This window comes from Homo sapiens, chromosome 1 (genome assembly GCF_000001405.40).
Source record: "Homo sapiens chromosome 1, GRCh38.p14 Primary Assembly".
In the NCBI taxonomy this organism is placed as follows: Eukaryota; Metazoa; Chordata; class Mammalia; order Primates; family Hominidae; genus Homo; species Homo sapiens.
The window spans coordinates 168270048-168283942 of NC_000001.11; the positions used below are offsets into that span (position 1 = coordinate 168270048).

General features: G+C 39.5%; 1 protein-coding gene across 1 annotated transcript in view, besides 1 other annotated feature; it reads left to right on the forward strand.

Moving 5' to 3' along the window:
* Positions 320-820: an enhancer, noted in NCBI's record as "H3K27ac hESC enhancer chr1:168239605-168240105 (GRCh37/hg19 assembly coordinates)". NCBI's record gives its function as "activates a minimal SCP1, AML or CMV promoter by ChIP-STARR-seq in naive H9 embryonic stem cells {active_cell/tissue: H9 hESC(naive)}" and the evidence as "EXISTENCE:reporter gene assay evidence [ECO:0000049][PMID:30033119]".
* Positions 10830-13895, forward strand: part of TBX19 (T-box transcription factor 19) — a 33550-nt gene continuing 30484 nt past the window's right edge. The window contains exon 1 of the mRNA NM_005149.3: positions 10830-11246. Within this exon, the coding sequence (NP_005140.1) occupies positions 11044-11246 (203 nt within the window). The 5' untranslated portion in view covers positions 10830-11043. The remainder of the gene's footprint in view (positions 11247-13895) is intronic.

The window sequence follows — 13895 nt, forward strand, 5'->3', positions numbered from 1 at the left end:
TGCATGACGTGTGCTCCGTCATGGTAGGGGTCTCTGTGCCCGCCATTTGTGGGGCTCCAACAGGTGTTCATGCTCTATTTTCTGACAGACAACTGGGCGAGCCCGAAACAGGGGTTCTTCCTCCTAGGTATCAGAACAAGCGAGGGTCTCTGGCTGGGATGGTGGGCCCAGGCCCACACTAATGGCAGCTCCTAATTCTCATTCCAAGCTGTGTATCCGGGCCTCCTGGCACTCTGCTTGTTCCTGGAGGTGCCTTTACCTGTGTGCATCCCGCAGGGACTGAGTGTGTGCTTCCCGTAGTACAGTCAAAAACGCCCATCCAACTCTGCCGGCAAAAGCAGCTCCTTCTTGGTGCTCTGTCCTTCTGGGTGCTTCAGCCCCTTCTCCATGCTCATGGGAGACCTGTCCACCACCGCCCATGTTTCCACTGGGGCCCATCCTAGCATCACAGCTGCCACCAGGTACCATAACCCATGCTGGGGCCACATGGCCCCCCCGGGATCATCGGGGCCAAGGACTCACTCACTCACCTTGGGATCCTGCTGACTACGCCAATTGTCAGGTTCCAGCCCGAGCTGAGGTCCAAGCGGAGTTGGTGGATTGGTGGTGGGTAGCTGAAAGAACACTCAAGGGACCATAGGCAGTTGGGACATGGCTTTATTCTCTCCCCTCCTACAGAGTCAGCAGTGTAGTTATACTACTCACAGACAATAATGGCTCAAAGCCAGGTACCATCTCACACAAACTGGTTACATCAAATGGCTACATACATGTGATTATATAATGCATAGGATTGTGTCCCTGCACTCCAAACCCAGTGTGTCATGCTGTACTGGATGTCTACCTCAGCCTACTCCTGACTGAAGCACAGCCATTTTCCTTACACCATCAATACATATCAGAGGAAACGCTAGATTGTTAGAGTTGGGAAATACCTTAGACATTATTTAGTCCAGAGATTTGGAAACATTTTTAAAAACTTTTATATCTAATTTAAAAAATATGAAAACACTTTCTCACTTATTTTTTCTTCATAACAAAACCTTCCATGGCAGGCCAATATATAACAGGTAAAAAAGAATTTTTATGGTTAAGGGAAATACAGTGGGATGGAGGAGCTCCACCTGCTAGTTTTCTATTAACCCAGCCTGACAAGAGAATTGAGACCACTCATGAGAAAGTCTTTCTTGCTGGTTCCCTAAAAGTGACATGACTTGTACACCTTGGTACTCTGTGCTCAGATGGAGATTAATTGGCGGGGGGAGTCATTCATTTTTTTTTTTTGAGATGGAGTCTCGCTCTGGCACCCAGAATGGAGCGCAGCGGCATGATCTCGGCTCACTGCAAGCCTCCTGGGTTCAAGCTATTCTCCTCCCTCAACCTCCTGAGTAGCTGGGATTACAGGTGCCTGCCACGACGCCAGGCTAATTTTTTTTTGTATTTTTAGTAGAGACGGGGTTTTACCATGTTGGCCAGGCTGGCTTTGAACTCCTGATCTCAAGTGATCTACCTGCCTTGGCCTCCCAAAGTGTTAGGATTACAGGCGTGAGCCACCGTGCCTGGCTGAGTCATTCCTTTTCTAACTCTTCTCCTGGTTCATTGAATATTGGACAAGTCCTTTTTTCCTTTCTTACCTGTTTTTTTCATCTATATTATGGAGATAATTAGAATCTCCTGATTTTCTCATTGTGTCTCTGAATGAATGAATTCCTGGAAATCGAAGGGTTAAAATGAAGTCTACCTGTTTGGACTCCCTGGGCTTAAATACCTGCCTTAGTAGTCATTGTCTAGGTACTTGTGGTCAAGTTACTTAACCACTGTGACCTTCAAGTTTCTCACCTATAAAAGGGGTATAATTACACCACTTACCTTATAAGATTGTTATAAATGAGATGTAAATATGATCAGCATGTTTTATTATTGTCAACACTACTTCTAAAAAATACAGTGTAAGAAAACAATTATGGATGTTCCTAAATATTTATTACCTGGAATTTTAATTGTTTAAACTTATAAAAAAAAGTAAATACATAGGAATATTAGATTGGTTAAAAAATGGCTCATTTATAAGATGGGATAATTTGCAAGTGTCAAGATAATGTAGAAAATTATTTGGTGACATGGGAAAAATATTCTTTGTATGTTGTTAAATTTAAAAGATTAGATTATAAAATCTTGTTATTGTTTTATTTATTCATAGGGCTAAAGGGCAGTCATTTTCTTCACTTTAAAAAATTGTTTAAAAATATTTTATTTTTAGGCTGGGTGCAGTGGCTCATGCCTGTAATCCCAGCAGTTTGGGAGGCTGAGGCGGGTGGATCACTTGAGGAGAGGAGTTGGAGACCAGCCTGGCCAACATGGTCAAACCCTATTTCCACTAAAAATACAAAAATTAGCCAGGCACGGTGGTGAGCCCCTGTAATCCCAGCTACTCGAGAGGCTGAGGCAGGAGAATTGCTTGAACCTGGGAGGTGGAGGTTGTGGTGAGCCAAGATCATGCCACTGCACTCCAGCCTGGGTGACAGAGTAAGACTCTGTCTCAAAAAAAAAAAAAAAAAATTAATGTTATGGGTACCTAGTAGGTATATATATTTATGGGGCACATGAGATTTTGATATAGGCATACAATGCATAAAAATCAAAACAGGGTAAATGGGATATCCATCACCTCAATCAAGCATTTGTCATTTCTTTGTGGTTATAAACATTTCAATTATACTCTTTTAGTTATTTAAAAATATACAATAAATTATTATTGACTGTAGTCAACAATACAACTAGATTTTATTCATTCTATCTAATTATATTTTTGTACCCATTAACCATCTCTACTTCCTACTACTCTCCCACTACACTTCCCAGCCTTTGGTAAACAGCATTCTACTCTCTGAGTTCAATTGTTTTAATTTTTAGCTCTCATACATTAGTGAGAACATGCAAAATTTCTCTTTCTGTGCCTGGCTTAGTTCACTTAACATAATGACCTCCAGTTCCATTCATATTGTTGCAAATGACAGGCTTTTATTCTTTTTTTATGGCTGAATAGTACTCCATTGTGTATACGTACCAGATTTTCTTTATCCATTTGTCTGTTAATGGACACTTAGGTTGCTTCCAAATCTTGGCTATTGTGAAGAGTGCTGCAATAAACATGGGAGTGCAGGTATGTCTTAAAAAAACTGATTTCTTTTCTTTGGGGGTATATACCTAGAAGTGGGATTGCTGGATCGTATGGTTATTCTATTTTTAGTTTTTTGAGGAACCTCCATACTGTTCTCCATAGTGGTTGCACTGATTTATATTCACACCAACAGTGTGTATGGGTTCCCTTTTTTCCACATCCTCGCCAGCATTTGCTATTGCCTGTATTTTGGATAAAAGCCATTTTAACTGGGATGAAATGATATCTCATTGTAGTTTTCATTTTCATTTCTCTGATCATCAGTGGTGTCGAGCACTTCTCATTTGCCATTTGTATGTCTTCTTTTGAGAAATGTCTATTCAGATCTTTTGCCTATTTTAAAATCAGATTATTAGATTATTTTTCCAGTTGAGTTTTTTGAGCTCCTGATATATTGTGGCTATTAATCCCTTAATAATTCTGGTTTGCAAATATTTTCTCCTATTCTGTGGGTTGTCACTTCACTTTGTGGATTATTTCCTTTGCTGTGCAGAAGGTTTTTATTAATAACTTAATGTGATCTCATTTGTCTATTTTTGCTTTGGTTGTCTGTGGTTTTGTGGTATTACCGAAGAAATCTTTGCTCAGACCAATGTCCTGGAGAGTTTCCCCCATGTTTTCTGTTAGTATTAATAGTTTCATAGTTTGAGGTCTTAGATTTAAGTCTTTAATCCCTTTTGATTTTATTTTTGTATATGGGGAGAGATAGGGGTTTAGTTTAATTCTTCTGCATGTGGATATTCAGTTTTCTCAGCATTATGTATTTATTTATCATAACATTCTTTTCTGTTGACCCCAAATTTTTATTTTATTTAAAAATTTTTTTCTTTCCAACTTTTAGGCTCAAGGGGTACATGTGCAGGTTTATTACATGGGTAAATTGCATGTTTCAGGGTTTGGTGTACAGCTAATTTTGTGACCTAGGTAATTAGCATAATGCCTGATAGTAGTTTGTCAATCCTCACCCTCTTCCCACCCTCCAGCCTCAAGTAGGCCCCAGTATCTGTTGTTCTCTTCTTTGTATCTGTGTGTACTCAGTGTTTAGCTCCCTCTTATAAGTGAGAACATGTAGAATCTGATTTTCTGTTCTGTGTTAAATCACTTAGGATAATGACTGTCTATGTTGCTGCAAAAGACATGATCTCATTCTTATGGCTGTATAGTATTCCAAGGTGTATATGTACCACATTTTCTTTATCCAGTCCACCACTGGTGGGAATCCAGGTTGATTCCATGTCTTTGCTGTTGTGAATAGTGCTGTGATGAACATTCGTGTGCATGTGTCTTTATGGAGAATGGTTTATATTTCTTTTGGTATACACACAGTAATGAAATTGCTGGGTCTGATGGTAGTTCTATTTTAAGTTCTTTGAGAAATCTCTAGACTGCTTTCCACAGTGACTACACTAATTTACAAAATTCCCACCAGCAGTGTATAAGCATTCTCTTTTCTCCACAATCTCACTAGCATCTGTTACTTTTTGACTTTTTAGTAATAGCCATTCAGACTGGTGTGAGATTGTATCTAATTGTGGTTTTGATTTGGGTTTCTCTAATGATTAGTGATATTGAGCATTTTTTCATATGCTTGTTGGCTGCTTGTATGTCTTCTTTTGAGAAGTGTCTGTTCATGTCCTTTGCCCATTTTTTAATAAATATTTTTTTTGCTTGTTGATTTATTTAAATTCTTTATAGATGCTGGATATTAGACCTTTGTCAGAAGCATAGTTTGCAAATTATTTTCTCCCATTCTGTAGGTTGCCTGTTTATTCTATTGATAGTTTGTTTTGCTGTGCAGAAGCTCTTAAGTTTAATTAGGTCCCACTTTTAATCTTTTTTTTTTTTTTCTTTTTTTGAGACAGGGTCATGCTATCTCACCCAAGCTGGAGTGCAGTGGCATGACCTTGACTCACTGCAACTTCCACCTCCCAGGCTCAAGCGGTCCTCCCTCCTCAGCCTCCTGAGCAGCTGTGACTACAGACATGTACCACCATGCCCAGCTGAGTTTTGTATTTCTTGTAGAGATAGGGTTTTACCATGTTGGCCAGGCTGGTCTTGAATTCCTGGGCTCAGATGATCCACCTGCCTTGGCCTCTTAAATTTGTGAGATTACAGGTGTGAGCCACTGCACCTGGCCAATTTTTGTTTTGTTGCAATTGCTTTTGAAGTCTTCATCATGAAGCCTTTGACAGCACCAATGTCCAGAATGATATTTCCTGGGTTTTCATCTAGGGTTTTTGTAGTTTTAGGTTTTACATTTAAGTCTTTAATCCAACTTGAGTTGAATTTTATATTTGGTGATAAATAGTGGTCCAGTTTCAATCTTCTGCATATTGAGAAGATTGAGATAACTAGCCAATTATCTCAGTACCATTTATTGAAGAGGGAGTCCTTTCTTCATTGCTTGCTATTGTCAGCTTTGTTGAAGATCAGATGGTTGTAGGCGTATGGTTTCTTTTTTTGGGTTCTCTAACCTGTACCAGTGATCTCTGTGTCGACTTTTGTACCAATACCATGCTATTGTAATTACTGTTGTAGCCTTGTAGTACAGTTTGAAGTTGAGTGGTGTGATGCCTCAAGCTTAGTTCTTTTTGCTTAGAATTGCTTTGGCTATTTGGGCTCCTTTTTGGTCCCAATGAATTTTAAAATGATATTTTCAAAATCTGTGAAAAATGTTGGTAGTTTTACAGGAATAGCATTGAATCTGTAAATTGCTTTGGACAGTATGGCCATTTTAAAATATTGATTCTTCTTATTCATGAGTATAGACTGTTTTTCCATTTGTTTGGGTCATCTTTGATTTTTTTTTTTAAGCAGTGTTTTGTAATTCTTGTTGTGATCATTCACATCCCTGGTTAGCCATATTCCTAGGTGTTTTAGTTTTTGTTTTTTGTGGCTATTGTGAATGGTATTGCATTCATTATTTAGCTCTCAACTTGGACATTGTTGGTGTATAGCAATGCTAGTGACTTTTGTACACCGATTTTGTGTCCTGAAACTTTGCTGAATTTGTTTATCATATCTAGGAGCCTTTGGGCAGAGACTGTAGGGTTTTCTAGGTATAGAATCATATCGTCTGCAAAGAAGGATAGTTTGACTTCCTGTCTTCCTATTTGGATACCTTTTATTTTTCTTTTGCCTGATTGCCCCAGCTAGAACTTCCAGTACTGTGTTGAATAGGAGTGGTGAGAGTGGGCATCTTTGTCTTGTTCTGTTCTCAAGGGAAATGCTTTCAGCTTTTGCCTCTTCAGTATGATGTTGGCTGTGGGTTTGTCATAGATGGCTATTATTTTGAGATGTGTTCCTTTTTGATGCCTAGTTTGTTGAGGATTTTTAACATGAAGCAAGGTCGAATTTAATCAAGAGCCTTTTCTGCATCTATTGAGATGATCATGCAGATTTTGTTTTTAGTTCTATTTATTTGATGAATCACATTTATTGATTTATGTATGTTGAACCAACCTTGCATCCCAGGAATAAAGCTTTCTTGATTGTGGTGAATTGGATTTGGTTTGCTAGTATTTTGTTAAGGATTTTTGCATGTATGTTCATCAGGGATATTGGCCTGAAGATTTTTTTTTCTGCCAAGTTTTGGTATCAGAATGATGCTGGCCTCATAGAATGAGTTAGGGAGAGTTCCTCCTCCTCTATTTTTTGAAATAGTTTCAGTAGGATTGGTACCAGCTCTTTATATGTCTGGTAGAAATCAACTGTAAATCCATCTGGCCCAGGGCTTTTTCTGGTTGGTAATTTTTTTATTACTAATTCAATTTTGAAACTTGTTATTGATCTGTTCAGGCTTTCAATTTCTTCCTGGTTCAGTCTTGGGAGGTTGTATGTTTTCAGGAATTTGGTCATTTCTTTTAGGTTTACCAGTTCGTGTCAGCACCATCTATTGAAGAGACTGTCCTTTCTCCAATGTATGTTCTTGGCACCTCTGTCGGAAATGAATTCACTGTAGGATTTATTTCTGGGTTCTCTATTCTGTTCCATTGGTCTATGTGTCTGTTTTTATGCCAGTACCATGCTGTTTTGGTTACTATATCTCTTTAGTATAATTTGAAGTCAGGTAATATGATTCCTTCAGTTTTTTTTCTTCTTGCTCAGGATGGCTTTGGCTATTCTGCATCTTTTATGGTTCCATATGAATTTTTAGGATTTTTTTTTCTATTTCTGTGAAGAATGTCATTGATATTTTGATTGGGCTTGCATTGAATCTGTAGAGTGCTTTGTGTAGTATGGACATTTTAACAATATTGATTCTTCCAGTCCATGAACATGGTTTATCTCCCCACTTTTTAATGTACTCTTCTATTTCTTACATCAATGTTTTATAGTTTTCATTGTAGAGATCTTTCACTTCTTTGGTTAAGATTATTCCTAGATATTTTATTTTATTTGTAGCTGTTGTAAATGGGATTACTTTTTTGATATCTTTTTCAGATTGTTCACTGTTGGCCTATAGAAGTGCTATATTGATTTTTGTATGTTGATTTTGTATCCTGCAACTTTATTGAATTTGTTTATATATTCTAATAGTTTTTTGGCAGAGTCTTTAGTTTTTTCCAAATATAAGATCATATCATCTGCAAACAAGGATAATTTGACCTCCTGCTTTCCAGTTTGGATGTCTTTTACTTCTTTCTCTTGTCTGATTGCTGTAGCTAGAACTTCTAGTATTATGTTGAATAACAGTAGTGTAAGTGGTCATCCTTGTCATATTCCAGTCTTAGTTCTGTTTTTTCTTCATTTCTCCCTTACTGGTGCTTCAGAACACTTCACATTTCTGTATTGGAATTCCACAAGCGTGTCTTTCTGTCCCTTCTAGATTGTAAAACTATTTGAAGGAAAGATTTTTATCTTACTGGTAGACTGTTTGGGGAGACATTGTTCACTGTATCTCACAGCGTTTTCCTCATAAAGATTTATGGGGGAAATTTCTCACAGGTCAAGGCTTGCTTTTATTTTAGGGACACAGTTTAATGTATGCCAGATTATATTCCCCCACTTTGCATTGGCTGCTTGGAAGCTCAGAGCCACAATTGTGTCACAGTTCTAAGCAGCGCCTTCTCAAAATCTCCACTTATATACCTAATAGTCTTTGCATTAGTCTCCTATTGCTGCTGTACCAAATTACCACAAACTTAGTGGTTTAAAACAACATAAACCTATTATCTTACAGTTTGGGGAATCAGAAGCCCAAAATTAGTTTCACTGGACTAAAGCCAAGGTGTCAGCAGGACTATGTTCCTTCTGGAGGCTTTAGAGGATAATCTATTTCCTTATCTTTCCCAGCTTCTAGAGACTTCTTACATTCCGTGTCTTCTGGCCCCTTTTTCCATCTTCAAAGCCAGGAGTGTAGCATCTTCTCTCCCCTCTGACTTCTGCATCTGTCCTTACATCTTCTTCCTCTGACTTTGATCCTCCTGCCTCCCTCTTATTTTTGCGATTGCACTGGGCTCACCAGATAACCCAGGTTAATCTCCCCATCTCAAGACCCTTAACTGAATCACATTTGAAAAGTCCCTTTTTCCCATGTGAGGTAATACACTCACAGGTTCTGGGGATTCGGAAATGGGTCTCTTTTGCAGGGGGTCCTTATTCAGCCTGCCACATTCTTTTCAGTGTTAGCTGTATGAAACTGAAATGTTTGAGTCTCCTAACCAAACTGTACCTCTGCCTACCCTTCCACCTCCCTCACCTTCCATATCTCAGTAAATGGCCCTGCCATCTAATAATTGTTCTGATCAGGCACATGGTTCTCTGCTCTCCCTCACCCCCATATCCAGTCTCTCATGTTGTTCTGTCATATAGACTTCTAAAGTGTATCTAGAACCTGTACACTTCATTTTTTGGCCACTGCCACTACCCTAGGCTAAGCCATCACCAGCTCTTGCCTGAATTGCTGTCATAGCCTCTAATTTGTTCTTTACTTCAGCTCTTGCCCTTTCCTAGTCTATTCTTCACAAATCGATTAGATTTTTTGCAAACACAAAGCCAATCATGCTGTTTTCCTACTTAATACTCTCCAATTGTTTCCTATCTCATGCTGAAGAACATTCAAATTCTTCATCATGACTTCTAAGGCCTCATGGTCTGGCCTGGCCCTCTCTCAAAGAACATCTCATTCTGCTCTCTTTACCACCACATTCTGGTCACACTGGCCTCCCTGGAGATTTCTACCTGGCTCAAGCCATGCTTCTCACATGTAATTCTTCTGCTTGGCACTCTGCCAACTCTTCCCCGACTACATCTTTGCTGAGCTTTTGGTCTCATCTGAAATGTCTCCTCCTCAAAGAAGCTGTTCTATACAACTCCATCTAACTGGAGTTCCCTACCCTGCTGTGCACAAATTTTTCTTGATCACTTCACCCTTTTAAGTAGCCTTCATAGACTTATCACTATTGATAATTACTTAGTTGTTGTTTACTTTATATCATTTATTTTCTCCATCATATTGTTAATTCTGTAAAGGCGCAGGCCATTTCTGTTTGTTCCTTGCTGTATGTGATGCTTCATAGGTATGTAGCATAGGAGATCCTGAATACATTTTCTGTCATCCTTACCCTGACTTTATCTTACCTTTTTGGGTTTGTTTTCCTTATGTTCTTGTTTTCTTACTTTGTATTGAAATGAGAGAAAAACTCACAACCCCCAGGCTCTACTCAAGGTTGGGGGCCAGAGGAGGTAGAGCTTCCTCTGCTCCTGTCTCTTCCACCCGCCATCCACTCACTCGCCATTAGTACTGTGTGTTGTGGGCAAAAGAAAAGCTTTCTACTAGTGTTTCTTCCCAGGGAATGTGGGATTCATCCTGGAATGCCAAAATAAGGATGAATTGTCTAAAGAGAAAACCAGAATGCCTTTCTGGACCAAAGATTGAAATTGCTCTGCCTAATAATGTAAACAGTTTATTTTCACTGACTGGGGGCAGAGTGTTCCTTAGCGAGATTAATATGATACTAGCTGCTTTTTTGTCTTCCTCTGGCAAAGGCTAGAGATAACAAAAATTGGGGTTCTAGACTCTAGGGAGGAAGGACAACATTCACAGCTCCATTTGTAGGAGGTGAGGAGGGCCCTTGAGAAAAGTGGGGTGTGAGCGAGTATAGGACATTCAGGAGAGAGATGATCAGTAGGGGACACCCTGGGAGAAAGAGATTCTGAGCTCTTTTCTTTTCTCCGGAGCCCTGACCCTTGAGCAGTGGCACACAGAGTGTCTTCCTTTATTCTCTGGTACAGTAGTCATGTTTCTTGGCACAGTGCCTTGGACCTTCCATACATGCTTTCTTCCCTCCAGAGCCTTCGTCTAAGATGCTGGAGAGTAGCTTATAGCCTGGGCATCAAGTTTGTCGATTCTCCCCAGGACCCTTTTCTTTATAGGTGCCACATGTCATGATTTATGCACAAACATGATTTGCCTGACAGTGCAGTCTGGGCCTGGAATAATTTTAATTAATGGGAAAATGGTCCTCAATACACCGATTAGACCTCTTCAGGTACAACAAGATAAAAGCCTGATAATTTGGATGGAGTACTCTTCTTAAATATCTACTCTGTGCACGGCAGCCAATGGGAAAGCCAGGCTCTCTCCCACCTGATCCAATGAGTAATTAAGAGAGGGCTTTTTCTTCCCTACCTCTCCCCTGCCTCCACCCCGCTCCCCAACTAAAGCTTAACAGGTTGGTGGCATAATGTGGAGACTTTTAAGGGGTGTCATCCTAGGAGCTTAGGCAAGAGCCAGGGTATCTTCTCTCCGCTCCCCAAGCACTGTTCAAGTGGGTTTGAAAAGCAGGCAAGTGAGGGAAGGAAGAAGCTAGAAGCAGGCAAGTTGGGTAACGGCTCTCGGCAAAGTTCGAGAAGTGCCTATGGCCATGAGTGAGCTGGGCACTCGGAAGCCCAGCGATGGCACTGTTTCTCATCTGCTCAATGTGGTGGAGAGTGAGCTTCAGGCAGGGAGGGAAAAAGGCGACCCTACGGAGAAGCAACTTCAGATCATCCTGGAGGATGCACCTCTCTGGCAGAGATTCAAGGAAGTCACTAATGAGATGATTGTGACCAAGAATGGCAGGTGAGTTTATCTGCCGCCCCGCGTGGGCTGGCAGGGCTTGGCAGGAGAGATGAGACCCCTTGAATATTGAAGAGGCTGCCGCTCTTCACTCAGAGGCGGCGGGATCTGATTAAACATGCTTACAGGAACGACTGTCTCCAATGGCTTTCCTCCAGCCAACTTAATTAATTTATCTGAGATCATCAGAGGATGAAGCCACCTGTCTTATGTGCATTTTAAATGGAGAAATTCTGGGGAAATTACCATAAAGTGGGGGGCATGCCCCATTGGGATGGGAAAATGGACTTAAATGTCAGAAAATAATATTAATTTGTGACTAGCTGCATACCCTATCGCAGACCTGAGCCCCAACTCCGTCCAGATAAGGTGAAAGACAACTTTATTTGGAAGCTGGATGATCTCCTCCTAAGTATAGCAAACTTGCCAGAAATGTTTGGCTAGTTGAAGATTGGAAGCAAAAGGGCAAATGTAAACTCATTGCCTATCACTTCATCTGCTTCCCCGTGTGTGTTTGTGGTGAGTGTTCATTTGAGATTGTGTGTGTTTGTGATGATATGAAAGCTGTTGCAGTAATAGTGGATGAAAACATATTATTCTGCTTTAGAGAAAAGAAGATGCCTTCTTTCTTATCAGTGCAACAAATTTAGGGATTAACTGAAACTGATCTCTGGTGGCATTTCTCAGATTCTATTAAACCTAGTCTGCTAAGGGGCTGTCCAGGTAATATTAGAAGATTTCACTTCGTAGAGGAGACGCAAATATTTTGAAACAAAATCTCACCGCTCGCAGCTTGGCCAAACTGGCTCCAACATTCAGCTGGTGTTCACATAGCTTTTCATACACATGGTCACAAAAGTACAAAATGCTGAAAGGCATTTTCAGTAGGCTTAGTTTTGGCTGAACTCTAATTATGACACCCTCGAGAGAATTCTGATAAAAGAGAAGAGCCGAGGCCATCTGAACTTCTTTCTGTCAGGCTTTTGTCCTTGTGCAAAGTGCTTCCGTTCCTGATGTCTCGGTTTTCTATATTTTAATAAAGCACAGTATAGAAAATGAACTATTTCTTGTCAATCTTGAAGAGTTATGAACTCGAGAGCTGTTACATGGCATTAAAATGCTTTCTAAAATGAAAGCCATACCTGAATTAGGGCATTTCAAGAAATTGCGATTATACCAGTAGCAGGAATATCAACCTTGCTTGATTTTTATATTTTCTTTCTCAAAATGGGTTCCACACTTATTTCATATAGATTTATTGCTTTTAATATTGTTACTGTAATTATAGTTCCTTCTCTTGACCTGTATTTACACATTATTTTTAGCTTCTTTCATAGAAGAAAACATAAAACATAGTTTTAATTTCACAGAATTACACCAAATTCTTAATTGGATTTAGTCTCTGACCCTTTAAAAATGGGCAAAGATGCAACTGTAAAAATTTTATTATATCTGATTATAGGTAGAACATTCTGCTTATTTTTCTTTGTATTATTGGATACTAATTACAGTAATACCTAGCCTTATGCTATTGATTGGGCTGTCAAATTGGCCATTTATTAAAGTAAAAATAAGTACAATTACCAAGTCAATATATGGTTCATCTATTTCAATAAGGAATAAATAATAAAAGTTTCTGAAACCATGATAAATTCCAATTTAATAATATGTTACATTGGAATGTACTTTTACCATTTAAGAAAAGTTTTATCTTGCCTTTTTATTGCCTATGTAATTTTCCCCTATATTTAAAATGTAATATTCTTCACATCAGCCCAGTGTGGTGGTGTGCTCCTGTTGTCCCAGCTACGCAGGAGGCTGAGGCAAGGGGTCCTTGAGCCCGGGATCAGTCTGGGCAACACGGTGAGACCCTGTCTTTAAAAAGCAAAATGAAATCCTTCATCTTTAACGTCATTTAATATTAGCTACATGAACAATATTCTTTGTAGAAAAAGTCTGATTGCGGTGAACTTGGCTGTTCTTATCTATGGATGTCCTGCTGTGTTTGCCGTCTTCCTATAGATGAAATCTTTTTCTTAAATTCTCCTAAGCTCTCGGAGCCCTTTAGGGTCAAGATTTTGCCAGGAGATAGAAAGTTTCCTTTATACTTTGATTAAAGAAGGGAAGACAAGTCCATAAGAAATTGATGTACTTAATAATGAATGAACTTGGTCTGAAATTACCCCCAACCTCTTAGTTTCTCAGATTAAACCATTAGTCACACTTTACCTTTGTTAATATAGACATCTTTCTTGCTTCATCTTCTTTACTCCCTTCTTCCTTCTCTCTTTTCTCCCTAACTATTTATTCCTCTATGCCTCCTTTCTACCCATTCTCCTATGTCTATAGACTCTTTGTGTCTCCTTCAAATCCTTGCCCTCCACATCAACTCCCGCACCTGGTGCAGGTAGATTTGTGGCCCTTCCCTGTGGAGAAGAATGTTCCTGGTATGATTACCCAGTCCTAGCCTTTTTCATTCATAATGTCACCTGGGCCCTTTTTCATTGACATTGTCACCTTGACTTTTTAAAAAAGCATCATTTGGGGTGGTAACTCCTATACACTTGAGGTCTCATTGTTCTGCACTAAAATAGCAAATCTTGAAATAGCGTAAGATGGGCCGATGAAAGAGTGAAAAGACTCATTGTCAAG